The sequence below is a fragment of the Homo sapiens genome, chromosome 1 (assembly GCF_000001405.40).
Source record: "Homo sapiens chromosome 1, GRCh38.p14 Primary Assembly".
NCBI classification, from domain to species: Eukaryota; Metazoa; Chordata; class Mammalia; order Primates; family Hominidae; genus Homo; species Homo sapiens.
This window is the reverse complement of record NC_000001.11, coordinates 110,196,043-110,222,195: the sequence shown is the minus strand read 5'-3', so window position 1 is coordinate 110,222,195 and position 26,153 is coordinate 110,196,043. Positions and strand designations below refer to the sequence as shown.

Sequence of the window (26,153 nt, the reverse complement as noted above, 5' to 3'; positions counted from 1 at the left end):
GGTGAGGAAGCCCCTAAAGGCAGACAACATGCACCATGGCAGTTGAGAGGGTGGTCTGGTCAGAAGAACCAGTCTCACTCCTTCCCACAAACTGACATTTCCTGGAACTCTGAGCTCCAAAGAAAAAGGAACCATACGCATCAGCATCAGAGTGGCAGGGGCTGATCTCGACAGCTGCTGGGATCTCGGCTAGAAGGATGACAGCAGCACTCGGCAGAGGAACGGCGGCTGGGTTTAAGTGTCCAATCATTATGAATGGAGATGAAATGCATGTGTAATAACACCAATTATGGAGGCTTCATGTGTTATTCATGCCGTGCCATCCACCACTGTCAGGATGCCCACTGATGGGGTCCAGTCTCATGCCTCCTGCTGCCGCCTGTCCTGCACGATGGCTGGACTGGGCTTCCTCCTTGACCAGACGGCTGAGCCTAAATAGGTGGGTAAGGGAGGTCTGTGGCCTCATGGTACCATTTGGTAATCCCCATGCCTGCCTGACCTACCCTGACTTCCACCTGGCTGTGTGGACAGGCACTGGCATGTGCCCGTCCCCTGTCCAGTGAGGACTCAGAGAGGTTTTCCTCCCTGGGAGTCTGCACTGGGATGGGGAGGGCATACCTTGTTCTTAGTACTGCAAAACACCAATGAAGAATACAAGGGGACCTGGGAAAATGAAGCAAGCAGCAGCACCTCCAGGGCTACTGGAGCAGGAGCAAGTTTGAGGGGGAAAATCTGGGAATGAACAGTTATCAGCTGTCTCTTCTGTGCCTGGTACTGTTAAGCACTCTGTATATGCTTCAATCGCCTTCAATCCTCCCAATGACCCTGTGAGGCACGCCTCATCATCCCATTTTATGCAGGATGAACTGAACATCAGAGACGTTACATACTTGCTTAAGGTCACACAGCCTGGAAGGGATGAAAACCAGATTTGAACTCAGAACTGTTTAACTTCAAAGGCTGTACCTTTTCGTCATACCACAGTGTTTTCACCACCTCCCAGGCAGGGTCAATTCACAGGCCTGGGAAAGCCATCTCTGAATCACTGATCCTGTTCCCAGTTAGCTCCCTGATGACTGCTATTTCACCCGTGGGAAAGTGTGCCTCAGGCTTAGGACAGGTCCCCCATCACACACCTCACTGTACCTCATTCGCACTTTAACTTGGATGGGTTGATCAGAAACAGCATGGAAGGAGAAGGCTAGGTCCAGGGGGTGAATGGAGATGAAATGCATGTGTAATAACAATTACACAGACACACTTTCCCAATTTTACGACACTGCTGGAGTTTTTCCTGCTTGCTTCTCCCCTGTGAAGGTAAATTTAAGTTCCTTTTCTAGCCTCATTCTTCCTCCTCTGAGAAAGGGGCTGCCAAGTCAATACAGGCTGATATGGGCATTAAGTAAATGGCTCCAGCCTGTGGGCTCTCCATGGCCATCCCTAGGTGGGCTGGCAAAAGTGCCTGTCCGTGGCCGTGGCCATGCCAGGAGTCCAGTCCTGGCACCACCCTCTCTCCTGAAAAACAGAGTGGTTGAGGTAAGGGGCAGGGACAGCATATCCCAATTCTGCCAGGAACCATGGGAAGCAGAAGCTGGCTCTCTGAGGAAAAGTTAGCCAGGAGAGTAGGCCCACCTGGGAAACTGAGCGTGAAGTTAATTAGTGACTTGGAAAAACAAGTTCAGGAAGAGCTGCCAAGAGGGTGAGCAGAGGGAGGGAGGGAGGGAGGGCGGCATGGCCCCGGCCATCCTCTCATAGCAGGGCCAGGGAGCCTGCCTTGCTACCCTCCTCAACTGCCACCACCATGGGCTCATTCTGCAGCAGGCAAGAGAGTCCTTCAGGCCCCGTGGGCACCAGCCACATCCTGGATTAGGGAACAACCCCCTGGATTCCTGTCTGTCCATTCACCTTTGCTTTTTTTCAAAACACAGAACTGTTCCATCTACTATTAACTGCTACCCCTCACCTCCACCCTGAGAAGAGGAGGGGAGCTAAAGAGTGGTCATGTGTGCCCATTTTTTAAGTGAAATAGAGGCACAAGAGAGGGCAGATGATTTGCTCAGGATCACACTGAGGCCAAGTCTCCTGACTCTCAGCTCAAAGCTCTTTCCAATTGGCCCCTCTGACCGAGCAGGTAGGTATAATCCCCTCCTCCTTTGTTGAAACCTTGGTGGGGCCTCAATCTCCACTGTGGCCTCTCCAGGGCTGGGGCAGCAGGCACTCAGCAGGCCCCAAGAAGCCCTCACTCCCCAAGGAGACAGAGATGCGGCCTGAGCTGTGGCACCTTGCTCCAGGTGGGTCCTGAGGTTACAGGTTCCCCTTCAGGGCCCAAATTATTCCTTTCTGCCCTATGTTGCTCCCCAAACTGAATTATTTCATAAGTGGTTGACCCTGCTTGCAAATGGTGCTTTTCACCAGGCCTTTTCACCTGTCCACACTGTGTATCCACTGTGTATCCCTGTGGGCAGGGATACACAGCTCCCTTGACTAGGGCTTCCTAGCACTAAAGGGGGCCAAGGGAAGAAGAGGTGGTTGCAGCAACACCACCCTGCTTAGAGGCCAAAGCCTCAGCCTTGAGCCTTCTATTCATTCCCCACTGGACCATCCTGCCATCCTACAGAGCTGGCAGTGGAGATCCGAGCCTCCCTCTCATGGGCCCCTGTGCTGACAGACTAAGGGCAGAGAACAGCTAAGGAACCCTACACTAGAAGCCTTGGGCCCGGGTTTAGACTTCCGGGATTCCTCATCCTGGCCCTGCCACTCAACCAGGTAAATGAATGGTAACTTCTGCACCTGTTTCCTCTATATAAAATGGGGACAGTACTAGTACCCCCTTCACAGTGTTACGGTAGGATTAAATGAGCTTCTACATGGTAAATGCCTGGCACCCAATAGGTGCTCCATAAAATGGAGATAAGAGTTGAGGAGGGTTAGGGTCCTCTGCGTGCAGCTTTTGAAGGTGAGCCGAATCTGGAGCCAAAATACCACAGAATCTTTGCTTTTTAGAAGTGAAAAACGGAGACTGAGAAAGTTATCCAGTTCAACTCCATTTCTGCTGTTTTACAGATGAAGAAACTGAGGCCCAGGGAGGAGTGCTTGCTTGTCCTGATTTTCATGGCTGAAGCTGCTAGTTCTTTCCACCACAAAGGGCATGGATTCTGCTGGAAGGCAAAACTTCCCAAGTAGAAAACTGCCGGTGAACTGGCTCCACCAGGGGCAGCTCCTCTCCTGCTGGGAGGATGCAGGAGGGTCTCAGCACCCTGGACAGCAGGCTCCCATCCTCTAAGCAGGAGAGCGCCTCTCCTCCCAACTCCCTGCGCCCCCTGGGCTCCTGTGTCCTGTTGAAAACTCACCCCTCTCCAAAGGCCCAGTTGTTCAGCCCTATTACCATCCTCCTCCACCAACCCCACCGTTGGACTGTCCCTAGAAATGTAAAGCCACACACTTCTGGGTTCAAGTTGGGCTCTGCTACTGACTGCATATGAGACCTGCATGAGTTCCTTAACCTCTCCAAGCCTTAAGGTCTTCATTTATAAAGTGAAAAAGGGAGCGCCTACCAAGTACAAGACACCGTGTTTGGGAAAATACCAGACAACCACCCTTGCCCCGGGACCTTACATTCTAGTGGAGGCCGACTTTAACAAATAAACAAGCAAAATACACAGTATGTCAGGTGGTCTAAGGGTTATGAAAAAAAATAAAGAGAAAAAGGAGATAACGGGTGGGAGGATAGGGGAGTTGTTTCCAATAGAGAGGTCAGGTAAGGCCTTAATGACAAGGTGACACCTGAACAGCCCTGAAGAGTGAAGGAGTGAGTCATACGAAGAACCGGAGAGTTCGAGGCAGAAGGGATGAGTAGTGCAAAGGTCCTGAGGCTACAATCTGCTTGCTATGTTTGAGGGGATGAGGGTAGTATCTACCTGGTACAGTTGTTTTGAGGATGCAAAGAAATGATACTTGTAAAACTCAGCACAAAGCCTAGAGCATTCCAGGAATCTGGCACAGGCTGGGTCGAGGGGAGAGGTGACAGACACCAATCATTGGGAACTGCATACAATCAGCGGGGGCAGGGGAGGAGAGCCCAGGAAGAAGGGCCAGGGAGACAGATGGACAGATAAACATAAGGAGACTCAGGCCCAAAAACCTATATTAAGGATGAAGTGTAGGAGAAGGGAAAATTGAGAACACAGCCAAAGACACTGGCAGAGTAAGATCTGTGGGGATGGGGTGAGGGACTGAGGGACTGAGCCTTCCAGGGAAGCAAGATCCTTGTGCCCAGGCAGTGCTGGAAGACAGTGGGGCAGTCCCGGGGGTAAGAGGCAGGAAATGAGAAGGTCTGCCAAACAAAGCATCTCTGAGCTATCCCTGGCTCCTGGTTGAGGGCCCGCACTAAGGCCTAGGTCCCAGCAGAGAAACATCCCCTCCTCTCCCCTCCATGGGTGCCCCTAGGAACAGGACCTGGCCCTGCCCCCACCCCATGCTGAGCCAGGACCTTCTGGTCCCAGTGTCCAGAACCCACCTCTACCTATGCTCACCCTCCGACGAGCCAGCACTTGGGGCCTCTCAGGGCCTCTGGGTTGCCCAGAACGGATGAGTCCCTACCCCAGAAGGAATTCAGTCTAGCCCGGATCACTATCCAAGAACCCGCTATTCAGTCAAATGGAATTCCTGGTTATTGCCCACCCAGGCCCCACACTGTCCAAGCTCTGCTTGAGCTGGTCACCTGACCAGAAAATTCCCCCTTTCCCTAACGCTGCATATGGTTTAGCTCTACCCACATGGAAATTTTATTTATTTATGTATGTATTTATAATGTGACTCTTTGAAAAAATTATTTAAGGCACTAAGTCAGTATCCTACAAGGCCCACCCAATTCAACTTCTAGTTCCTTGTGGAAGCCTCTCTGAACACCTCCTACACCTCATCCCACGTAGAGGTGGGATTTATTGATTCCTCCTCTCACTTCCTATTGAACTTTATTTTCTTACGACTCCTGTGGCACCTCTCATGATCCGTCTTGTATTACTGTTGCCATTTCTTGTCACCTAATTTCCCTTGACTGCCACTTACTCTACCCGACTTGGCTTTTGTCAGGAGCATGGCCCCCTCTGACTCATCTTTGGATTTCTAGAACCCCACATGTGTATGGTAAGTACGCAGTAAGTGTTTTCTGAATGACTGGGGCCAAGGTGACCCCCTGCTCTCTCTCCTGGTCCTGATGAGCCTGTCAGAAGAAGAGGTCATCAGCTCCACTGACTGGGACAAAGTGACAAGGGTATATGCCCAGTAATACCTCTAGGTGCTGGGGCCCTAGGACCTCTGCTGCCCTCCAGAGCGAGCCAGGTCCACTTCCAGATAAGGACCCCTGCTAGGGGCCAGGTGACCACCCCTTAGCCTGAAGAAAATTCCAGCAGGGAGCAGGGCCAGAGGTCATGGCAAGTCAGTTACGCACAGGGAATGAGGGTTGCACAGAGCTCTGGTGCCCAGCATCCCAGGCTGACACTGCCCATGGGTGGGGGTGAAGGGCCCAGGGTCTCCTACCCTCAAGGCCAAGCTGCCTGGCTCTGCTCCTGCCTGCCTGCTCTTCCCCCGAGTCTCCAAAATAGCTCGTTTACTTTCTCCCCTTCCCTACTCCACACCCCACCCCTAATGTGACAACCAGAAACACCTCAGCATTCAGAGACAAGATGTTCAGAGACAAATGTTGATCTGTTCAGAACAAGAGAAGAAAACAAACCCAAGAGGAAACTGGGAGGATGCCCTGCGGGCAGGGCCTGCAGGGAGTCCTGCAGCCTTCAGCCTGGCCCCTGCCTGCTCCTCAGGAAGGAGGTGGAGGGGCTGCCCCGGGCAGGCTTGGCACTGCCCTCCTGGGGAGCTCAGAAAGCCAGGGTACTGCCCTCCTGGGCTCAGGTTCCTGGTTCACCCTAGCTCAGAGGGCACAGCATCAGTGAGTCCTGGCCCTCACTTTAAAGCCTGTCGTGATCACTGACCTGTCCCCCAGGCAATGCCCGGACCAGAGAAGCCAGGGAACTTCAGAAGCGGGCAGGCAGGAATGCAGCTCTGCTCCTTTCCTAGAAGGCCTTGGTTTCATGCTCTGCCTGGGCCAGGGAGCTTCCCTTAGTCTTTTCTCCCAGCCACGCCTCCCTTCATTTTTCCTATGGAAATCCCACAGTGAGAAGAGAGGTTATCCTTGACCAATTCTGGGGAGTGAGAAGTAAAGGAACAGATAAGAGCAGAGTGGAGGAAGAAGCTCTCCAGTGAGGGGCCACCCTCTGGAAACCAGAGATCCTCTCTGGGCAGGAGCCAGAGGCCATAGGAGGAGCACAGACTTAGATTGATGAGACCTAGGTTTGGATCCTAGTTCTACCACAAGTGGTGCGACCTTGAGAAAGCCCCACCAGGCCTGTTTCCTTATCTGTATACTGATACACAGATGTTAACAATATCTGCCTCACCTAGGCCAGATGAGTAGTAGCAGAAAGCACAGGCCAAGCCTCCCACATAGTAACTGACACTTAACAAAGGGGAAGACCCTGCTGGAGCTGCCTTCCTGGAGCAGGGAGTTCCTGTGGGTCCCCTCCTCTACTCAAAAGGGAAACATCACAGGAAAAATGTGCTGATTTAGCCAAAGGAGAGGAACTGTAATCCTTAATAAGGCTGATAGCTGAGCTAAAGCCAGCCCTGCCCTGGAGACCTTGGAGACTAGGGTAGGGGAAGGGCATCCTGGCCCCATTCTCCAGGCCTCTTGTCTGCTCTCAGAAAAGAAGGTGCAGGTTTCTAAAGTTTCGGATGCTGCCAAACCTCCACTGGGCCCCCTGAGGCTGTGAAGTCTCCACGGTGAGCCTTCACTCTGCCCTGCCCCTCGTACCTGTTCCCAGCTCAGGCCACAGAAACGGAACCACAGCAGCAGCTGCCCATGGGCCCAGCACAGTGGAGCAGGGGTGAGCATCCCAGTCCAGGAGCCTGCCTGAGCGGAACAGCTCCTTGGGCCAGGCCTGTAGCTAGGCAACAGGCTCTCATAATCAGCTCAGTTCACTTTCCATTTGTATCGTTTTGCTCCTGTCATAACGCACTACTCAAATGACCAGGTTGCTGTGTGCGAAAGGACGCCTCAGGGCAGAGCACTGCTCCTCTCTCCCTCTTCGCCCACCACCCCACAGTGCTGCGGGCCCTTCCAGGGAGGAGGTAGCTGTGAGCGAGGGAAGGTAGCACATATACCGGGGGGAACAGGGCTGGGAAGGATGGGACAGTGTGACAAGCCAGGGGCAAATGGAGGGGGGAAAGTGCAGCCCCAGAACTCCCCGCATGGCATAGTACCCTCAGGCCTGGAGGGGTAATACAGTAAGTCTTCCTTCTGACGTCTCCATCTGCCCCTGGGTTTTCTGATGTCATCCACAGGAGGTACAGAACCTCAGAAGGACATTTCTCAGGCTACAGTAAGAAACAAGCTCTCTGCCTCAAAAACAGCCTAGTTCAGTGGAAAGAAGGTGTTGTAATCACAAGAGCAAGGGCTTGGGAGTCAGGGACTCTGGCTTTGATTCAAAGCCTGGCCACTATCTGGCTGTGTGATCTCAGGCAAGTTGTTTACCTTCTCACAGCCTCAATCTATTAAACGGGGATAATCACCGGGTTTTAAGTTTATTGGGAGGATTAGAGATTAATGTAAAGTATATACAGCAATGTATCTGTCTGGGGTGCTCAATAATGAGCAGTTATTCATTAATTTGTAAAAATTATGTATTCCCACTTGTGTGTCCCGGGAGCAGGTGAGGGTTGCCTTTGCCTGGGCTCCTGAGCAGGAGGCAAGTCCTCTTTTAGTGCATGTGTTGGCCAGAGCTCCATCCAGATATTCACATCAGGATGAACAACCAGAAGGCTGGAAACTAGGGGTGGTTTCCTGCCTCTGCTATTAGTTAAATGTCTTTGGCAAGAAACTTAATGTCTCTGAATCCTGGTTTTCTCAATGTTTAAATGGAAGAATTAACCTTGCTCCATCATAAACTTCAAGACCTCAACTGGAATGCCTGGGCTGATGTGATTCCATGTCAAAGGGGCAAAGCACCCTGGGTTCCTGGGAAGACTTCCAGGGGCAGGCCAGGCTCTGAGCTTACTCAAAGAGGCCCCCTGGCTTGGCCATTCAGCAGTGAGTTAGGAAGAAAATAAACTCAATGATATGTGGGGTGCCACCTGGAATTCCAGAGGGGAAGAAGAGCAGGTGAAAAGCCCCTAGAAGTCCCAGAATGCTCAGAAATAGGGCCTAGCTCCCCTAACCACCTCATCTCATCCCTGCTTCCCTGGTTTGTCCCCTTTCCCCATCTCTATCTCTATCTCTCCTCCCCGACCCCCAACTTTGAAAGAGTCTGAATGATGTGTGCCTGCCCTCTCTCCCCTAATGCAGACAGCCAAGTGCTAACACTAGCAAGGTTAGTGACCTACATGAGAAGTCTGTAGAACTCACAGCAGACCCAGGCCAGGGGCATCACTATGCCCTCACCTTCTTAGCCAGTCTCAGGGCTGCAAGGAAAGAAACCCAGACAGTTGCCTCTAGCTTTGTTGTCAGTCCTGAGAAAGATCCCTGCCTTCTCGTGGCTGCCTGCAGCCCCAGCCCGGTATGCCATGGCCCCTGAGACCTCTGCTCCTCCCTTCTCTTCCAGGCAGAAGATGCATCTGCCCTGGCCTGGCATTTATGCCAGCCTGGCTTTTCCCTGCAGGCCTGTTCCCCAATTCCCTACCCTGCCTTCTTCTATGACTAGGAAGGAGTCCAGCACAGGGGTGCTGGGAAAGGGAGGGTGCTCTGAGACTCATTAACATGACAATTTGGGATGCTGGAGGAACCAACCAGGTTCCACAGCAAGCAGCAGTCCCCAGACCCAACAAGTTACATTGCTCTTTCCTGTCTCCCAGACAGACTCCAGCCAGGCTTTAGGCTGCTGACCATGAGATCCGACACCAGCCCCCAGAGTTTTCTTTCTTTAAAGAATCTAAAGCCATCCTTCAGGGATTTTTTTTTTTTTTTTTTTTTTTTTTTAGCTGTCGAAGCATAATGGGGGAAGCACCTCCCCCGTTCTCCCCTTTCACCTAAAGGAGTTAGGGAAACTGGATTTACTTGGGGAGGAGGCGGTAGGTCTTGCCTAAATCAACCTGTGCTTCCCCCTTCCCTCATACACCCATTTCAAGCAGTAACCTGAACCAGGGCTTTCTGGAAAGACAGTTTGTGCTGCAGCAGAAAGAAAAGAAGCGGCAACAAAAATCTGGTATCATCACCAGGAAGCCTGTGGCTGGCCACTGGCCGTGGGAGCCTGCAGAGCCTAGAACGCTAGGCCCTTCGTGTTTAATTCTCCTCTCACCCCAGCTGAGGCCAGGACATCCCAGGTGTGCAGGAAGCCTCAGGGGCATGGTATCCTCCCTGGCAGAAAGAATGCCTTTCTTAAACCTGGAAAGGAGGCCGGATTGTGGTCTCAGCTTTGCCTCTTCTGAGCTTAAGATGCTGAAGCCTATATCCTCCTCTCTGAAGTGCATAGTTGTGAGCACACTGAGCTGCTGGGAGGATGTAAATGAGGTGGCACGGCATGGAAGCATCTAACAAAACCCACCCTAGTTTCCTTCCTCTCAACCCTGCCTGCCCCCATCAGAAGACCAAATTCCAGCTCTTCCAGGACCGTAGTCCTGTGTGGAGTGGAGGGCAGCTGAAGATAGGGCAGCCTGTGCAGACCAAAGAAGGGGGTGGAGGAGCTGAGCTGGGCACCCCACTCACTGGAGGGGATGCGGCAAAGCAGGCAGCTGGGACTGGGTCCAAGTAGTAAGTCAAGTGTGTGCAATCTCCTGATGGAGCGTGCAGGGGAGAGGGTGGGAGTGTGTAATTCCCCTGCGAGCCACGGAGGGGGGTTGAGAGGAAGGCGGGAACAATCTGCGGTGGTAAGGTAAGTCAGGCTCGGTCCCTGCTCCTCCCGGCCCCTACCCACCACCCACCACGGACCCCTTGCAGACCCAAGATGGGGAGACACGGGCTCCTGCCACTCACCCTAGCGGCCCGGGAGGAGTAGGGATCCTCGAAGAGCGCCCACATGCGGGGCTGCCAGCCGCGGCAGCCCCCAGACCCGGCGCCATGGCCCGCGCCTCCCTCGTGGGGGCCCAGTCGCTGCAGGGCCAGCTCCCGCTCATCGTCGCCGGCCTCGTCGCTGGGCCCCGCGCCGCTGCCGCCTCCGTCCGGGCTCTCGAAGATGTCGAGCGCCTCCTCGGCGTCGCGGTGCTGCCGGTAGGTCATCCAGCAGCAGGGTTCCACGTCGGTCTCGTCGATGCCCCAGAAGGTGAGCTCCTCTTCGAAGAGCGGCCCGCACACGTCCGCGGGGCAGTGCAGCTTGCCGGTGCGGTAGTAGTTGAGCACGTAGGCGAAGACGCCCGGGTGCCTGTCGAAGAAGAACTCGCAGCCCCCGCCGCCGCTGCTGCCGCTGCTACCCACACCGCCGCCATCGGTCTCGGGCCGGCCCCCGCCGTCGGGGTCGGCCAGCCAGGCGAGGCGGGTTCCCGGTAGGGTGCGCAGGGTGCTGCGGTAGGTCTCATGTCGCGTGCCGCCCACGTTGATGATGATCTTCTCCGACGCCTCGCCCTTGGCCATCTCCTCCTTCAGACATGTTTTGGACGGAGGCTTGTTCCCCGACTTGCGCCCGCGGTAGGAGGAGACACACACCGAGCTGATCATAAGAAGCGCTGCGGGGCTCCGGCTTGGGGCGGCCGCTGCCCTCCAAACACCCTTCCCGAGGAGGCAGCGTCAGACGGGGGAGGGGGAGGAGACGAAGAGGAGGCAGGAGGCGGTGGCGGCCCCCTCTGCGGCTTGGGCTTGCCCCTGCCTATCCCCCTAGGACGCGGAGCGGGAGGAGTTGGATTTCTCCGGTACACAGGTGGTTGGGGTTAGGGCAGGAAGCTCCGGAGAGAGGGAGGCGCAGAGAGGGAGGACCCGGGGAAGTAGAAGCAAGCACACACGCGGTCCCCCGCTACGACGGGACACACAAACGCTCTGGGCCGGGGACACGCCCCCGCCTTCACCCCGACCAAAGACGAGGAAGCGCACAGTCCACGCGCACCGCGAAGGTCCGGGGCGCTCGCGCTCACACGGGCCACCCTCCGGCTCCAAGACCGCACCAAGCCCCGGAATAGCCGGCTTCCCCGCAGCGGCGGCAGCGCAGCAGCAACAAGTCCTCCGAGCGGCTGCCGGGGCCAGGCCGACACTCTCACGGCAGCCGGAGCTCCGTGGGCCCGGGCTGCTTGCGGTCAACACGAGGCGGCGGCGGCGGCATGTGGCCTCTTCCCCCCATTCATAAATCCAGCGCCGGGCGAGGAAGGCAGGCGGGGCAGAGCAGAGAGCGGCGGCCGGGCGGGCGGGGGCTGCGCAGGGCGAGGCGGCAGCTGGAAAACAAGCGCGCCCGCAGGAGCGAGCCTCGGGTCCTGCGTCCGCGGCTGGGAGCTGCGCCGGACCGGGCGCAGCGCTGCGGGGGCCGCGCTGGGGCGGGGGTGCCTCAGACGGGGCGTCCTGCGCGGCGCCGAGCCTGGGGGGCGGGGCCGCTCTGGGGAGCCGGGCTCTGGGCACTGGCGAAGGTGTACCGGGGGCGGCGGCCGAGCGGCCAAGGACACCTGCAGGCTTCCCGGGCCGCGCGGAGAGGGAGCCTCAGCGCAACGCCCCGGCGCCTGGTTCCTGCGATCTGGCGGCGCTGGGAGCCACGCCATCTACGCGTCTGCCCATCTCCGGGCGGGGCGCCGGCCTTGGCTCGCGCGCGGCAGGGGGCGGGCGCGAGGTGGCATAGGGGAGGGGGCGCCTCGGCGCCGGTGGGCTGGGGCCCTAGGGGCTCATGGTCTCCCTCCGGCGCTGGCAGCGGCCGCCACGCCCCAGTGGCGCCTTTTCCTCCGGGGCCCCGCCTCGCCCAGACGCGCCCTTCGCGGGGCGGGGTGGGCGGGGCGCGGCGCAGCGCGGGGCCGATCCGACTCACTGCAGGCCCTGGCGACCGAGCGCAGTCTTCCTCCCCGGAGCCGAGCCCCAACCAAGCGCGTCACCTCCTCGCCGCCAGTGCCCAGCCCAGCGCGCCGCCCCTGCGCGCTTCCGCCGGCAACCCCTCCCGCCCCCCTCAGCCCTGCTCCGCGCCTCCCCCGGGCCCGCAGCTCCTCCCACCGCAGCCCGCTGACACCGAAGCGCTCTCGACCCCTGACCTCTAACCTCCGCCCGGCTCTTCTTGCTTCGTCCCTCGCCCCCTCCCCGCCAAGCTGGTCGCACTGTTGCCGTTTCACTGCGGCTGACGGAAGGCCAAGGAAGAAAGAGGGTAGAGACGCTGTCGCGAGGATCAGGCTGCCCTCTCCTTTCCCAGGGACCGTGTTGGGGCCTTCTGACCACCCCGCCCCGCATCCTGCGCCTCGGAGGCCCAACGTAGCCCAAGACACCCATGGTCTTGATGCTCTCCGCCTCTGTCCCAGCCACCAAAGTCCCCGCGATGGAATGGAGGACGGGGTGGCCTTGGGCAGAGAAGCGCTTCTTGTGCCGGATGGAAGGAAACCGTAGCTCTGGCTGTGTTCATCGCGAAATGTTTTATGGATGTGGAGTGGGTGGGTGGCCCTGAAAAGTCATTAGTTAAAGCCTTTGCTCGTCATTGCTCTGGGGTCCACATAGGAAATGCCCGTGTCCTGCCTCATGACCCCTTCCTGTTTCTACTCTTATTCTACCCATTACAATTTGACTTTGCCTGTGTATATGTCTCCTCTCCCCTCCCTAACCCTGAGCTCCTGCAGGCGGCATTGTGCTTTTTCATCTTGATAGCTCCCACAGTGCCTGCCTCTGAGAACCTGTTTGCTAAGTGATTGAGAAGCTGCCATACCCAAAACGTAGGCACCAACAGGACTTTACTGGCCCTATCCCAAGAGCAATTTCCAGATTCATTTGTTTTTGTTAAGTCCAGAACCTATTTTACATCTTCATATTAATCCCCATTGGGTTTTTTTTTCTTTTTTACAGCTTCAGGCAGCCTCCATGCCTGTCTGGATGATGTAAAGAGATCTTGAGGCAGAAATGAAAGGTGAATGACACACCTGCCCTGGACACCTGTGCACCTTCCCAGTTCCAGATCAGGCAGTACCTAGCTCAACTGAGAAAAACAAGACAAGGGCCTATGTGTGTCTCAGGAAAGGTTAAAAGCTCAGTGCCAATGCAAGGGATTTTTACAAGCAAAAGTCTCATTATTAATGAGGCCAGAAAACCAAAATGACAATGATCTTTGATGATCTGTACTGACACGCAGGGGAGGTGAGTTAATCAGAAACACACATTTACTGGCACCCCCTTTGTGCCCAGTCCCTGCTCCTCGAAACTGATGTTTGTATTTCAGAGTTTAGCTGTCTTTGAGTTTGCTGCAGTGAAAAGAAATATCCCAAGTGTGACTGGGAAGAGAAGACCCGGGACAGGCCAGAAACTGGAGTGAGGAAGAAAGAACCACAGAATATTAATGTAATGAATAACTTTCAAGTCCTATCTGGTCCGTGTCCTGGCAAAGTCCCTTGGGGTCTCTCCCCTGCTTTCCGTTCATCAGGATGACTGAGCTCAGTAATTGTAACAAAGGGAGTGTAGTAGGCAAGGGGACAAAACCCATAGTATCCCACCCCTGATTGACTTATTAACTCAATGAACACTTATTGAATACCTACGATATGCCAGAAGCAGTTCCGGGTACTGGAAATACATCAGTGAATAAAACAGCCACTCATCCTAGTAAATCTGCCCAACTGGTGCTTCCACTCTGCGGTGCTTGTGGATAGTGATGAGCACCTGGGGAGATGGGTAAAGGGAGAAAGCTGCCAGGGAAAAAGGAGGCCAAGAGGGAAGGGAGGAAGATCAGAAAGTTGGGACACAGGCATAGGAACCTAGGAAGAGCTGACAAAAACAGAGGGCCCAGCCTGAGAGAGGCAGCTGGGTAAAGGTGCATGGGGCCAGGACTCCCAGCTCTGTGCACTGACCAGCTCGGGAGAGGGGAGCTCAGCCTCAGTCCTGAGGCCTCCAGAGAATGCCTCACCCTTGCTGAAGGTTTATTCTAGAACTCTGGGCTCACCTGTTACGTGTACCTCTCTGAGGGAGTCGATATGCTGCAGTTAGCACTATGGGACTTGTCCCCATCATTTCTTTGTGTGAGGTCTTGGTGTTCCCTCAAAACACAGAGCCGGGGAAGGATAGGAGAGCCCCCTGCCCAGGCTACTGTGACACAGCCTACCATGGATGTGAGGGTGCTGCCCTCTGGTGGTGCTAGAACATCCTGGCTCCAGACCTCGCCCTGAGCTCTGGGGGCTGTGATGTGGGCAGATGGGGTGGCAGCTGATTCTGGGCTTCCTGTTGATTCCAGGACCTCAGGTACATCTTCTAGCCTAACTCTGCCATTGGGACTCTGCCTACTCCCTCCCTTCTTCATTCCTCCAAGACCTTGATACCTGACAGGCTTAAGCAAGACCACAAAGCAGCCACTATTGGAAATTCCTAGTTCCCCAAGCTTCTTTCCCTCATTTTCACCTTTTCTCTTTTGTCCTCTCCTTAGTGCCCTGGCTTCTTCAGGCTGTCAGGGAAGAGCACCTGTCTGAAAGCCAGTTCACAGAAGGTGTCAGCCACAGCGGGTTTCCCTCATCAGGGGTGAGGGTGTGGTGAAAGAATAGGAAGAGAGGGCCATGGGAGATTCTAAAGGGGCACCGATGGAGGCTGTCAAGCACCTGCACCCTTTCCAGGCCCCCCCTCCACCCGCATAATAAGGTCCTCACCCTCTGAGTGCCGACGCTGACCCTGTCCGTAGGAAGCTGAAAGCCTGAAATCAAAGCCGTTTACCCTTCCCCTTTCCCCACTGGGAGCTTTGTATGGGCTCAGCCTCTTTAGGATGACTGGAGCCATCCAATCTCCTCTCCATCTTCCTTCTTTGAAACCTGTTTGTGGTGAGGGGCTCCAGGCCAAGGCAAGGTTCTATCCATTGGTGCTCACACTTTCCCTTTTTGGTATTCTAGCTCCTGCCAGGGACTGACCCTCCTTCAGGTCCAGGCCAAGGAGCCAGCATCCTTTCCCAGCATGCCTCACTCTCTCCCAGCCTGGAAAATTGAATTGCTTTATCAGACTCATTAGAGGGTGATAGGGCCTCCCCGCTCATGGGGGAACAAGAGAAGGGAAGGCAAGAGCAGGCTGGCAGCCTCCTGTCTGCGTCTCAGCTCACTTCATCCTGCCTCCCCCAACCCCAAGCAGCCTGCAGAGACTTGCAGGCTCCAAATCAAATGTGAGAGCCTTCTTTGGGGGGAGGGGGGTTGGTGGGGGAGGGGCTCTGGGGAGAACCTAGCCCTAGTAATTCAGGTCTTGTGAAGATCAGTAGAATGGCTCTGCCTCAGGACTGAAAGCAGGGTTGGGTTGCTGTGGTAATCCCAGTGAAGTTGTATCTGGGGCTCAAAGGTGGCCTTTGAAGGCCCAGCTCTTAAAGAGAAGAGATCAGAAGCTCGGGCCTGGGCAGGGCTCAGGGCCTCATACACTATGGACCTGGAGTCATAGGGTTGGAGGGGACCTGAGTGTTAGCTCATGGACACCTTCCCCCCGCTTAGGGATGTCAGGCCTAAGCAGCAGCAGCGAACTCTGAGAGACGGAGCTAGGGCTGGTGTTGGGCCAAGGACAGAGAACGATACGGGGGCCACCAGCTGAGTGGACCCTAGAGGCCTCCTTGTTTAAGGCTCCTGGGCTGGGAACTCAGCCTGCATCCAGACAGCACACTCCCGCCACCGCGCCTGCCACATGCACGCTAGCCCAGGGTCCGGCTGGCAAGACCTCTTGACACTTAGCATTTCTCCATCTAGAAAAGTAGAGATTGCTCCCACCTGGGCTAAGTTCCAGGAAAAACTGGTTCATTCCATTAGAGGAGTTAATTAGTCCTGATGGGCCCAGTCCCCTCCAGCAATATCCTGGGGAAAGGGGAAGCAGGTGTCTGGAGAGACAGGCCAAACTCAGGTTCCTCTTGGGTGCTCCTGAAGTCCAGGGATTCTTCCCTGCTTGGGTCAGCCCTGGGCAGAATGGAGGGACCCAGAACCCAGGCAGCTCAGACCCAGGGACAGAGAGCAGATCCCCACTGAGTCTTTATGCTCTGCAGCCAGGACTGTGCCTGGCATGGATCAATCTTTGTAAGGGTTTGTGGTTGAATGACAGGCATAGTCTTCTCCCATCTCAAGGTTTCTTCCCACCTAAGATGATGTAATTAAAGAATGCAGCAGCGTGCCTGGCACCAGTGAGTGTGCCAGGAAGGGAGATGCCCAAGTCAGATTGTGACTGCCTCTGCGAGCCAGGGACTCTTGCCTGGTCCTTTGTATATTCCCAGTGCTCAGCACAATCCCAGGCACTCAAAATACCTGATTCATGCTTGCTTGATGCATGGAATTAATGAGGCGGGGGGTGGCGGGGGAGGAGTCCTCCCTGTCAGTTTCTTGCTGTGTGGCAGAGAGTGCACTAGATTGGGAGTCAAGAAACCCAGGCATTGGCCCCGATCTTCCCCTTGCTTGGTTGTGGGAAGTCTGGTCTTTTCCTCTTTGGGCCTCCGTTTCCCCCATTGTTGTACAAGGAGGTTTGACCAGATAATCACTAAGGTTCATATTCTGGTTACTATTGTTATGAAACAAATTACCCCTAGTATGTAGTGATATAAACCCAACAGCCATTTTATTTTGTTTATTATTTTATGGGTCAGGAAATAAGGAAGGGCTCAGTTGAACAGTTCTTGCTTAGGGTCTCTTATGCAGCTACAATCAGATGTCAGCGGGCTGCAAACATCTGAAGCTCAGCTGGGCTAAACGTTCAGTATGCTGTGTTCATGTGGCTGGCAGTTGACACTGGCTGTTGGCTGGAAGCTCAGCTGAAGCTGTCAACCTAAGCATCTGCAAACATATCGCCTCCCTAGCATGGCAGTCTCAGGGTGGTTGGCTGTCTTACATGGCAGCTGGCTGCCTCTAGAATGAGTATCCCTAGAACACCAGGTGGAAGTGGCACGGCCTTTCCTAATCTAGCCTTGGAAGTCACATAGCATCACTTCTACTATACCCTGTTGGTCACAGGAAGCATTTGCTCACCCAGATTCAAGAGGAGGAGCATAGACTCCACTTTTGATGGGAGAAGTATTAAAAAGAATTTGGGGCCAACCAACAACAAAGAAAACAAAAACAAAACCCCACAATAGCCTTGTGGTCTGTGGAATACTTTAGCCTTGGCCCAAGTCCCTATGACTGGAGCTGTCTGGTGGTGACTGCTGGGGTGAACATGATAATGTACAGGATCAGTGAGACCCCCACACTCTGGTACTCCCTTTCCTGGAGAGAGTTCCTTTTCTGCCTTCCTTCCTTGGCTTCTCTGGATTTTAGGCTGAAACTGTCCTTTGTGAATAGCTTTAGGAGATGGCTCATTGCATGGGTGATGGGGCCCCCAGAATGAAGTAGGCCCCATGGCCTTGCCCAGGATCGCAAGAAGGAAGGAAGGAAATATTTAATGAGCACCTATTGTATCCCCATATGGAAAGAAGTCGATACTGTATTCCAGTAGATGTTACTGATGAAGTTCATTTTTCCCTCATACCATCTCTAAGGAAGAGATTTTATTGTCGTCCTCCTTTTACAGATCAGAAAATGGAGATTCCAGGGTTAAAGTGGCTTCCCCAAGGTGGTATGGTTGGCGACAGACCCATGATTCAAACCACTCATGCCACCTGCCCTGGGGCAAACCTGAGGCAGAAGCAGTGGCCTCACCTGTCCTCCTGCATGCCCTTCTCATCCTCCTCTGACTGCTCCCTCCACCCAGGGCCCAAACTTAACCACTCACCTCCCCACCAGAAATGACCTGCTGTGTGTCCCAGTTCTGTGTCTCTAAGCTGACATCCCCTCAGGAGAAGGCTTCCATGCATGTGCAGGTGACTGATGACAAAGATCCCTAACACTCTAGAATCAGCCCATTACATGGGCAGCCAGACTCTCCCCACTCCCCATCAACAAGGGGGGCTTCTGTGTGCCCTCCCCTTTATTTGGGCAGATGCTGTGACCCACAGAAGATGGTAGAGGTACTGTGCCATTTTCCAGCCCCAGGCCTTAAAAACCTGGCAGCTTCCACCTCCTGTCTCTTGAAATGGTCTCTCTGGGGACCCTAAGCCCTTCAGTCAGAAGTCTGGCCAAGTAGCCATGCTGGAGAGGCAGTTGTAGGTGCTCACTCTGGCCGGCAGGCCCAGCTGAACTCAGTCTTCCAGCCATTCTCACTGGAGTGCCCGGCATTTGAGTGAATGTGAGGGCAGCTGCCTTGGACCCTCCAGACTAGTTCGCTGCTAGTTGAATATCACTGAGTGACCTTGGTTGCCACCAGAAGAGTTGCTCAGACGAGTCCTGCCTGAATTCCTTACTCAGAAAACTGCGAGATAGAATGGTTGTTTTAAGCCGCTCAGACTTGGAGTAACTTGGAACACAGCAATAGATAACTGGACCAACATGTGTTATCTCATTGAATCTATTTATTATGTCTGTTTTACAGACTAGGACATTTAAGCTCAGAGCGATTAAATGACTCGCTCAAGGCCTCCCAGGAAGCAGGAAGCTGGGTGGCATTTGAACTTGAACTTGAGAAGTATGACTCTAGAGCTCCTTGGAACCAAAGCCCTTGTTATGCTGCATCTTGGTGGATCTGTGTGCCCCTCCTGGCAAGAGGGCTTGCATCTCAACCAAAAACATTACCTTCAACCAAAAGACTGAATACTTGACAAGGAGTGACTTTCAGCACCAGGCCATTTCCTGGTTTGAAAGATACATGGGGAGATGTGGAGTTATAGGGCCGGTCCCCTCCCTCTGCCAAACTCAGGACAGCAGGGGCTGATTTTATCTTTATTCATCTATAGCTGGCATGGAGCCTGTCCAGGGTGGGTACGTAATAAATGTTTGTTCAACAAATAAACTAACCCACAAAGGAATAAATGACAGAGAGGAAGGCAAGCAGACTATGATCTGGCGAGAAAGGTTTTCCTGCCATCTGGTGGCTATTCCTGGAACAACACTTTCTATGGCAAGAGAAGAAAATGGCAGGTTCCTTCAGGGTCCTTGGCTGTGTGCGTCTGAGTGCAAGCAGCATCATTCCAGCCTGGAGCTGGGTGGGGTGGGGGTGAGGCCTCCTCCAGGAGCCAGACTTCTTGTTTCTTTCAATGTCGGTGCTCCTAGAGGGTGAGGCAGGAAGAAGAGCTTCCCAGCCACCAGCACAGTCCGTTCTTCACAGTGCTGAGTATTCAGTGGGTGTTTAATAAATGAATACTTGGGGCTGGAATGTTAGAACAGAGGTGATGTCAGATCCCCTAGTTCGTCTTTACCTTCTACTGAAGTTTGCAAGAGGGATAGCTATCTTGAAGAGAGGGGCAGAACTTTAGAATATGCCTGTTCCAGGGGAGCCCACCCCCCCCCCAACCCAGCACCCAAGAGAGTCCTGGTCCTTGCTGTCAGACCTCTCAACACTGGCACCTTCCCACCCCTGTCCTTCCCTGAGGTGGGCCTCCACACACCCCACCCTTGCCAGGCTGACAAGTATAGCTTTTCCTGGTAGTCAGGTGGGACAGGAGTTTCCCCTACAGGGTCCTGTAAGAGACCACCAAATACCATCCTAATTTCAGATGCAGTTTCACCTGGAAAAATGTAGCCAGCAAAGGGTCTCCCTTAGGAAACGGTTGCAAAGATGACAGGAAATTAGACATGTGGAATCGCTGGACCCCAATAGGGCCCTCTACAAGTGTGTGCATTGTTAATACCTAGGACAATTCATAGGAAAATACAGATATGAACCTGTGCACACTCCCCGCGCTGCTCCTCAGCCAGCCAGCACCCACAACCCCCCTCAGCAGTCCTGTCCACCCATCCCAGTCCAAGCTTTTCACCCCAAAGCTTCCCGCAGGATCCTTGGCCACCCTTCCCTCTCCCTCATTGCAAGAGCAGGTGAGAAAGGCAAGAAGGGTTTGGTAAGAACAGACACTTTATTGCACACTATGGTGGGGGAGAGAGGAAGAGGGGTCTAGGGTGACAATGCCTCATCCCCTCCCCTGGGCTGAGTGGTTTTGACCCAGGGCTCTGACCAGCCATGGGACACATGGACTTGAATTGTTCTGAACTTATGCCAGAACCCAAAGTGACGGCCTGGTGTGTATGCTTGGGTCTGTATAAAGCAGAGCTTTCAATGAGAAGAGGCCCTAGGCCCCCTCCCCCAGCCAAAGTCATCGGGCCCCAGTGAAGCAGCAGACCTCACATCTCAGGGCCTATTTGAAGGATCCAGGGATGCTCAGGGAGCCAGGTTCATTCTAACCAGTTTAGTTTCCAGCTCTTTTCACAGTGGGGAGTACTCTGGGGGAGTGGGGTGGGGCGTGGGGGTGAGGAAGGGCAGAAAAGCAGCCCCTCCGCCTGGTAATACTGCAGGCCTGTGCAGTGCCTGGGACCGTGTCTCCTGGGCCCCAGCCTCATGACCCACACAGGCTGACTCGGAGCGGGGGTTCTCCTGGCACTGGGAAAGCAGCAACCCCTGCACATGTATTGCTGGAGGGCAGAAGCTGACCTCACTGGCATTAACTGATGTGCCCTACCTGTTCAGCCCCCATCTGGGCCTCGGGCTTCATGTTGCCTCAGTGAGGAGGGCGGAAGTCTCCCTGAGCAAGAAGCTGGTGATGGGGCTGGAGGGCAGGCAGAGGTAGGGGATCAGGGGACTGTTGACTCTTTCAGGCACATCCCTGCCCTGGAGTTCCCTCTGCCTTCTGGTGGGCACTGTGTGGACAGCACCAAAGCCAGTGGGGGTGGGGACCCTGTGAAGGGACTTGGGGACCTGGTCCTCTCCTGCTACCTCCTGCTCCTCCAGGATTCTGGGGCTGGATCTTAGCTCATCAGGTGACCCCACCTGCCTTTGACTCCAAAGGCATCAAAAGCACAGTGGGGAGGGGGCAGGCGGCCCTTTTCAAACACTGTCAGGACTGCGTCAACGGCAAATGCAGCAGTGCTATGAGATCCCTCTTGGGGTCTCGCCATCTTAAGAATCCTAGTACTTTTCCTCTGGAGAAGAGCTAGCGATTCTACTGGGAACAGCAAGAAGCTGACTGGTAAATAAATTTGAGGATTTTTTTTTTCCCTTAACGCCCTCCTTCCCTGTTTCTGGCAAACCCAGTGGTGTGAAGGCAATGAGTCACCAGCAAGAAACACATGCCTTTCCCCGTAGCAGGGGGCTCCCGAAGCACCCTGCCGGCCCTGAGGCTCCCAATAGAGCCAAGAGGAGGAGGAGGAGGCAGGGGGAGGGAGCGTGGTCTTCAGGAAGGTGGTGAACACTGGGAGTCACAGATCAGCACGCTACACACACCCACACTCACGTATGTGCACACCATACACACAGCACGCACACACACACCCCGAGCTCTAGGCCCTACGTCTAACACACAGCGAAGACACAGCAAAAGGCTACAACGAGCACTAGCGCGCCCACACCTAGCAAGCACACAGCCCCAGCTCAGCCCCTCCCGCTGGGGCCTGGCCCAGCCACACGCTACAAAATTAAAAATATATCAAATATACAATGAAAATAGATCTGTACAGCACTGAGGATGAAAATAGTCCACCAGCCACAGTATAATATTGGGTTTGTCATTTAACAGCATTTACACCCACATGTACAGAGTGAATATACAATAGAAACAGAATATATAGAAGAGTATATATAGTAGAGTGTCTCTCCTGGGGCTCTGCTTTTCCTGTTGCTAATTCTGCTTGGGATTTGGCAAGGGGCCAGGTAGGAGGTGTTGTCGGGTGAGGGGGACTGCGGTGGGATGTTGTGCCCCAAAAGCTCATCTCTTTGGGGAGATGTGGGTCTCTCTCTCCCCTCAAACACTCAGGAAAGACAGGTAGGGCAGAGGGGGCTAGAAAGGGGAAGCTGTGGAAGAGGGATGAGTAAGGGAGATGGCAGGGTTGGGGGATAGACTGCTCCCAGGCTTGGGGGAACAGTAAGGAACTCAGGGGTAAAGGAGGGGACCCTGATTCTGGTCTGTCCCTCCAGGTCCTAAGAGCAATCTGAGCCACAAGAGTGACTTGCGACCCTTCGTGAGGGTGTCCGGGTTGAGCACTGTGGCCTGTTTCTGCCCTGCCCACCAGAGCTCTCAAAGATGGAGCCAGTATTCCCTCCTTTCTCCCTCCTTTCCTTCCTTCCCCCACCCCATCCGTCCATCCATCCATCCATCTATCCATCCACCCCCACCCCCCAACCCATCCATCCATCCATCCATCCATCTATCCATCCATCCACCCCCACTCCCCAACCCATCCATCCATCTATCCATCCATCCATCCATCTCTCTGCAGACATTTACTCTTGGGTCAGGTTCCTCCCTGGCTGCACTCTGAGAATGGGTTCTCTTCCAGAGGAGGCCCTGAAGGTAATGGCAGGTGGGGTCGCTGTTGTCAGCTGCAGCCTTCTGCACAGGCTGGCCTCCATCCTGAAGACCAGCCCTTGCCTTTGGCAGCCTCTACTGTCCACAGCACTGCCTATGGCACTGGCCACTGTGGGCCAGGAAGGCTTGGGAAAGGTTTCCAAGGTGTCTGCACATGATGTGCACACTGGGCGGCTGTGCTTGTGTAATAAGGAGAGTGAGTGGTGGCTCAAAGGGGCAGTGAAATTATCTGTCTTTCCCCAGGAGTGAGGCTTCCTGGGGATAAGCCTGTGAACTCCAGGGACCCCTGTTCCAGGGGAAAAGCTGCCACTAGACAGAACATTGGACCCCAGGTGAGGAGGGAGGGGAGTGTGCTTCACCATTGTGCTCCAAACCATCTAATTTGTGCTAGGAACCAACAATTTGTGCTCTGGAAACCTCTCCGTGCACTGTCCTTCTCTCTCCAGGAAAGAGGCAGAGGCCACCACTGTGGGCTGGGGAGGGGTGCTGGGGACAGGGAGATGGCTAAGCCCTAATTGAGGTGGGGAAGGTTCTGGTCCCGGTCACTGCACTCCCAGACAAGATGCAGGAGCACACACCACACACCCCAGGCAGGGCCAAGGACATGGGAAGATTCCACCCAGGGACCAGGGCAGAGGAGGTTCCTCACCTTCTGCTACCAAGGCTCATGCTGAAGCCAAGGGCAGCACATACCTCAGAAAACAGAACTTGGGGCTTCTGCCTAGGCCCTCCCAAGTCTGAGCCCTGAGCCCTGGCACACCTGCTCCCACCCTCCGCCTTGGAGCAGGTAGCCTCTTGGACCAGGAGCAACCCCGTCTGGGCTGGGCAGGATGGTGTCCTGTTCTCATGGCAGAGTGAGCCAAAGTCCACTCTCCTTCCCCAGCCCCAAGGCCTCTCACCACCACCATCTGACCCCACAGCCCTAAGAACTGCAGGTGGCAAGTTACAGGGAGAGAGGGAGGTGAGTGACTCCTGCAGTGGCCACTTGGAATCTCCCATGGACTGGGAAGCAGGCCTTATGGGTTGTTCCAATTACATGGCTACAATTTGGCGGAGGCTCTTGGAGGGCTAGATGAGTGGGGTCCTGAATTAGGAAACAGAGCTGCTCCCAGCCTCCTGCTCAGGGCTAGGGAGCAGAGTCTACTGGGACTGAAGAGGGGAGTGAGGCAGGGCAGACCCTCTCTTCTTGGGCAAAGGGCCTGGCCTGGGCCTGGTGGCCACCTCAAGAAAGAGGCCAGGCCTGGACAAGTGGGCAGGTTGAGCGTGGGGGGAGAGGCGGGCAGGGCTTGGGCAGTGGTCACAGCTCCGACTCAGGGGTGCTGGCCAGCAGGTAGCCGCTCCCATAGCGTCCATTGGGGTTACCGCTGGTCTCCAGGGGTGATGTGCTGCCGGGCCCCAGATAGGAACGGTGAGTGGGCATGGGGGAAGGTGCCTCACTGGGCACCTTGCTGAGGATGAAGCGGGTCTCATCGTTCTCCTCCAGGTTGGAGATGTCCTTCATCATGCGGCCCTTCTTGTAGGACACGGAGAGGGTGTTGGAGCCATCAGAGAGCAGGTGGAAGTGCCGCAGGACGAACACCACAGGGATGGGCAGCGTCGCCACGACGATGAGGGTGATCAGGAGTGCCATGGCCCAGTTGGGGAAATACAGGTAGCGCTCGGCAGCCTGCGGGTGGGCTGCCTTAAGGGCTGCTGCCGGCACTGTGACAGCCCTCCCCGCCCAGGCCCTCCAAGACTGCTCTCCTGCCCTCACCCATGGCCTTCCACTCCTCTCCCCTCCCACCATCCTGGCCAGGCACAGCCAAGGATGGGGGTTTACCTGGTCACCTTGGTGAAAGGGTCTAGGGTGGTTTCTCCTACTATAAAATGGACTAATTCCACTCCACAGGCATGGAGAGAGAATATGGGTTAGAAAGACTGGATAAGTGCATTAATCTTTCTGAGCCTCGGTGTCCCCGTTTGTGCTACAGGGATGATGCCACCTCTGTCTTTGGCTTGTTGTAAGATTGCGGTTTAGGTGTGAGGCACCTGGCAAGGCCTGGCACATAGCAGCTGCCCTAGAAAGGTGTATCCCTATCAGTGGTTGCATTCAAGGCCTGAGAAGATGCAAATGTCCCTGGGGTTTGGGGCCCCACCCCTCACCTCCTCCTTGATCCAGGCGCTGTAGCCCGGGGGCGTGACCCCCAGCTGGATGATGCTGGCTGTGGTGAGCACAGCCATGCATAGTGGAGACACGAACTTCCACATGTAGAAATAGAAGCGGTAGGGGCGGAAGCCCAGCATCTCCGTCAGCTCCTGCATGAACCTGCCAGGCATAGCAGAGGGTCCAGCAGTTGGCATCCCTCAGTCACACCTCCCTCTTCCCCCATCACCATCTCCTCCAGAAAGTCTTCGTTTCCCAGTCCCTCCCTCCTGGGCTCTTCTATTCTTCACATTCAGTGCTCATTGTGTGTGGTCTGGCTGGCCTCTGGGAAGGCTCTACTGTCCTCCTCTAACCTCTTCTGATTCCGTCACATCATACCCCATCCAGAGATATGATAGGGCCCACCAGACACACCCTGGGCAGGTGCACGTCTGTTTTATGTATAGACAGCTTGTGTGTTCAGGGAGGGGCCTAGCCCTTTCACACTGGCCTGGCTGAAGGCTCCCCCTGCTGGAAAAGCAGTAGAAGTGCACTTCTCTAGAGTCCAAAGGTAGAGAGCTGCCCTGACTCAGGGGTTTCTCACCAAGGGGTGAGCAGAATTCTGGAAGGCAGGCAGGCTTGTGCTTGAATGGCATACAAAAGAATCATCTTTACCTCAATAACCGCTAACTAAAATCTTGCATTACTTTCTATTATATTATGAATGCAAGCAAACACAGTAGTATTAACAATACCTGTGACTGTCACCAATAGATTACAGATATTTTCATATTACATCCCAGTTATTGAAAATATTGAGTCATCGCTGATTTTCATCACTACTTCAAAGTTACCACTGTTATTAGATCTATAGCTAGATCTTGTAACAATGCATTAAAAATAAAGTGCTCATACATTACTATATCACAAATTTTAAATGATATTTTGCTATTTTTCAATATAATAAGTTTCTTATATAACCCTACACATTTTATCTTATGCATTTAAAGTAACATACAGGGACATCACCAGACTGCCGAAGGAGTCCAGGACACAAAAATCAGCCAGAGTCCTTTGTGGCAGTGTCTTACAGCCCTGGCCCACAGCAGGTGGAAGCAGAGGAGTGTCCTTCCCCCCACTCCCTGTCCCCTCCTGTGCTCTCCTAGGAAGCAGACGGCCCCTGTGAAAGAGCCCCACTGCCAAACCAGGTCCAGGCATCAGGGAGGGTCAGACCAAGTGGGTTAGTGGAGGTGGGTCTTGCCAAGGACAAGGACAATGTGGTCATGGTCGATGCTGAGTGAGTCAGAGAGACCTAGTTCTAGAACTCCTGGGAACACGTATTTGCCCTAACATGAGGGATGAGGCCAAGAGTTTACAGTAAGTGTACAACTGCCCTAGGCCTAGGCTGTGAGACCCAATCCTTTCTTAGAGCTGAATCCTCTTACCCTGCACAACCCCAAACTTGGGGCCAAAATCATACCTCATCTCATACCCCTATCTAGGCCCTTACAATTGTGAACCAGGCTGCTGAAGTCTACACGTTCTTGGAGGGCAAGGGCCTCTTGTAGACCCACTAA

The 26,153-nt window shown here is 54.5% G+C and overlaps 2 protein-coding genes and 1 long non-coding RNA gene across 13 annotated transcripts in view, besides 7 other annotated features; 1 reads left to right on the top strand and 2 right to left on the bottom strand.

The window, feature by feature from the left end:
* The window catches only part of KCNC4 (potassium voltage-gated channel subfamily C member 4), a 73,767-nt gene extending 61,885 nt beyond the window's left edge, over positions 1-11,882 (bottom strand). For all 11 annotated transcript variants that reach the window (NR_036437.2, XM_047419679.1, XM_006710625.5 and 8 more), the window contains exon 1: positions 10,019-11,882. Coding sequence is in view for 10 of the 11 variants with exons in the window: in XM_047419679.1 (XP_047275635.1) it covers positions 10,019-10,696 (678 nt within the window). In the remaining variant the exon portion in view is untranslated. The remainder of the gene's footprint in view (positions 1-10,018) is intronic.
* Positions 6,966-7,045: an enhancer, noted in NCBI's record as "active region_1463". NCBI's record gives its function as "activates an Ori minimal core promoter by ATAC-STARR-seq in GM12878 lymphoblastoid cells {active_cell/tissue: GM12878}" and the evidence as "EXISTENCE:reporter gene assay evidence [ECO:0000049][PMID:35858748]".
* Positions 9,397-10,285: an enhancer, noted in NCBI's record as "H3K27ac-H3K4me1 hESC enhancer chr1:110754533-110755421 (GRCh37/hg19 assembly coordinates)". NCBI's record gives its function as "activates a minimal SCP1, AML or CMV promoter by ChIP-STARR-seq in naive H9 embryonic stem cells {active_cell/tissue: H9 hESC(naive)}" and the evidence as "EXISTENCE:reporter gene assay evidence [ECO:0000049][PMID:30033119]".
* Positions 11,523-12,202: a silencer, noted in NCBI's record as "silent region_1171". NCBI's record gives its function as "represses an Ori minimal core promoter by ATAC-STARR-seq in GM12878 lymphoblastoid cells {active_cell/tissue: GM12878}" and the evidence as "EXISTENCE:reporter gene assay evidence [ECO:0000049][PMID:35858748]".
* On the top strand, positions 12,209-13,746 carry KCNC4-DT (KCNC4 divergent transcript). Its single transcript, NR_046546.1, has 2 exons — positions 12,209-12,585; positions 12,992-13,746. It is a non-coding gene; the product is annotated as a KCNC4 divergent transcript (long non-coding RNA).
* Positions 14,165-14,214: a silencer, noted in NCBI's record as "silent region_1170". NCBI's record gives its function as "represses an Ori minimal core promoter by ATAC-STARR-seq in GM12878 lymphoblastoid cells {active_cell/tissue: GM12878}" and the evidence as "EXISTENCE:reporter gene assay evidence [ECO:0000049][PMID:35858748]".
* Positions 14,225-14,284: a silencer, noted in NCBI's record as "silent region_1169". NCBI's record gives its function as "represses an Ori minimal core promoter by ATAC-STARR-seq in GM12878 lymphoblastoid cells {active_cell/tissue: GM12878}" and the evidence as "EXISTENCE:reporter gene assay evidence [ECO:0000049][PMID:35858748]".
* Positions 19,101-19,150: an enhancer, noted in NCBI's record as "active region_1462". NCBI's record gives its function as "activates an Ori minimal core promoter by ATAC-STARR-seq in GM12878 lymphoblastoid cells {active_cell/tissue: GM12878}" and the evidence as "EXISTENCE:reporter gene assay evidence [ECO:0000049][PMID:35858748]".
* The window catches only part of SLC6A17 (solute carrier family 6 member 17), a 51,709-nt gene continuing 45,549 nt past the window's right edge, over positions 19,994-26,153 (bottom strand). Inside the window, exons 11-12 of the mRNA NM_001010898.4 lie at positions 24,597-24,759; positions 19,994-24,120 (exon numbers count right to left, since the gene is read on the bottom strand). Of these exons, the coding sequence (NP_001010898.1) occupies positions 23,752-24,120; positions 24,597-24,759 (532 nt within the window). The 3' untranslated portion in view covers positions 19,994-23,751. The remainder of the gene's footprint in view (positions 24,121-24,596; positions 24,760-26,153) is intronic.
* Positions 24,149-24,649: an enhancer, noted in NCBI's record as "H3K4me1 hESC enhancer chr1:110740169-110740669 (GRCh37/hg19 assembly coordinates)". NCBI's record gives its function as "activates a minimal SCP1, AML or CMV promoter by ChIP-STARR-seq in naive H9 embryonic stem cells {active_cell/tissue: H9 hESC(naive)}" and the evidence as "EXISTENCE:reporter gene assay evidence [ECO:0000049][PMID:30033119]".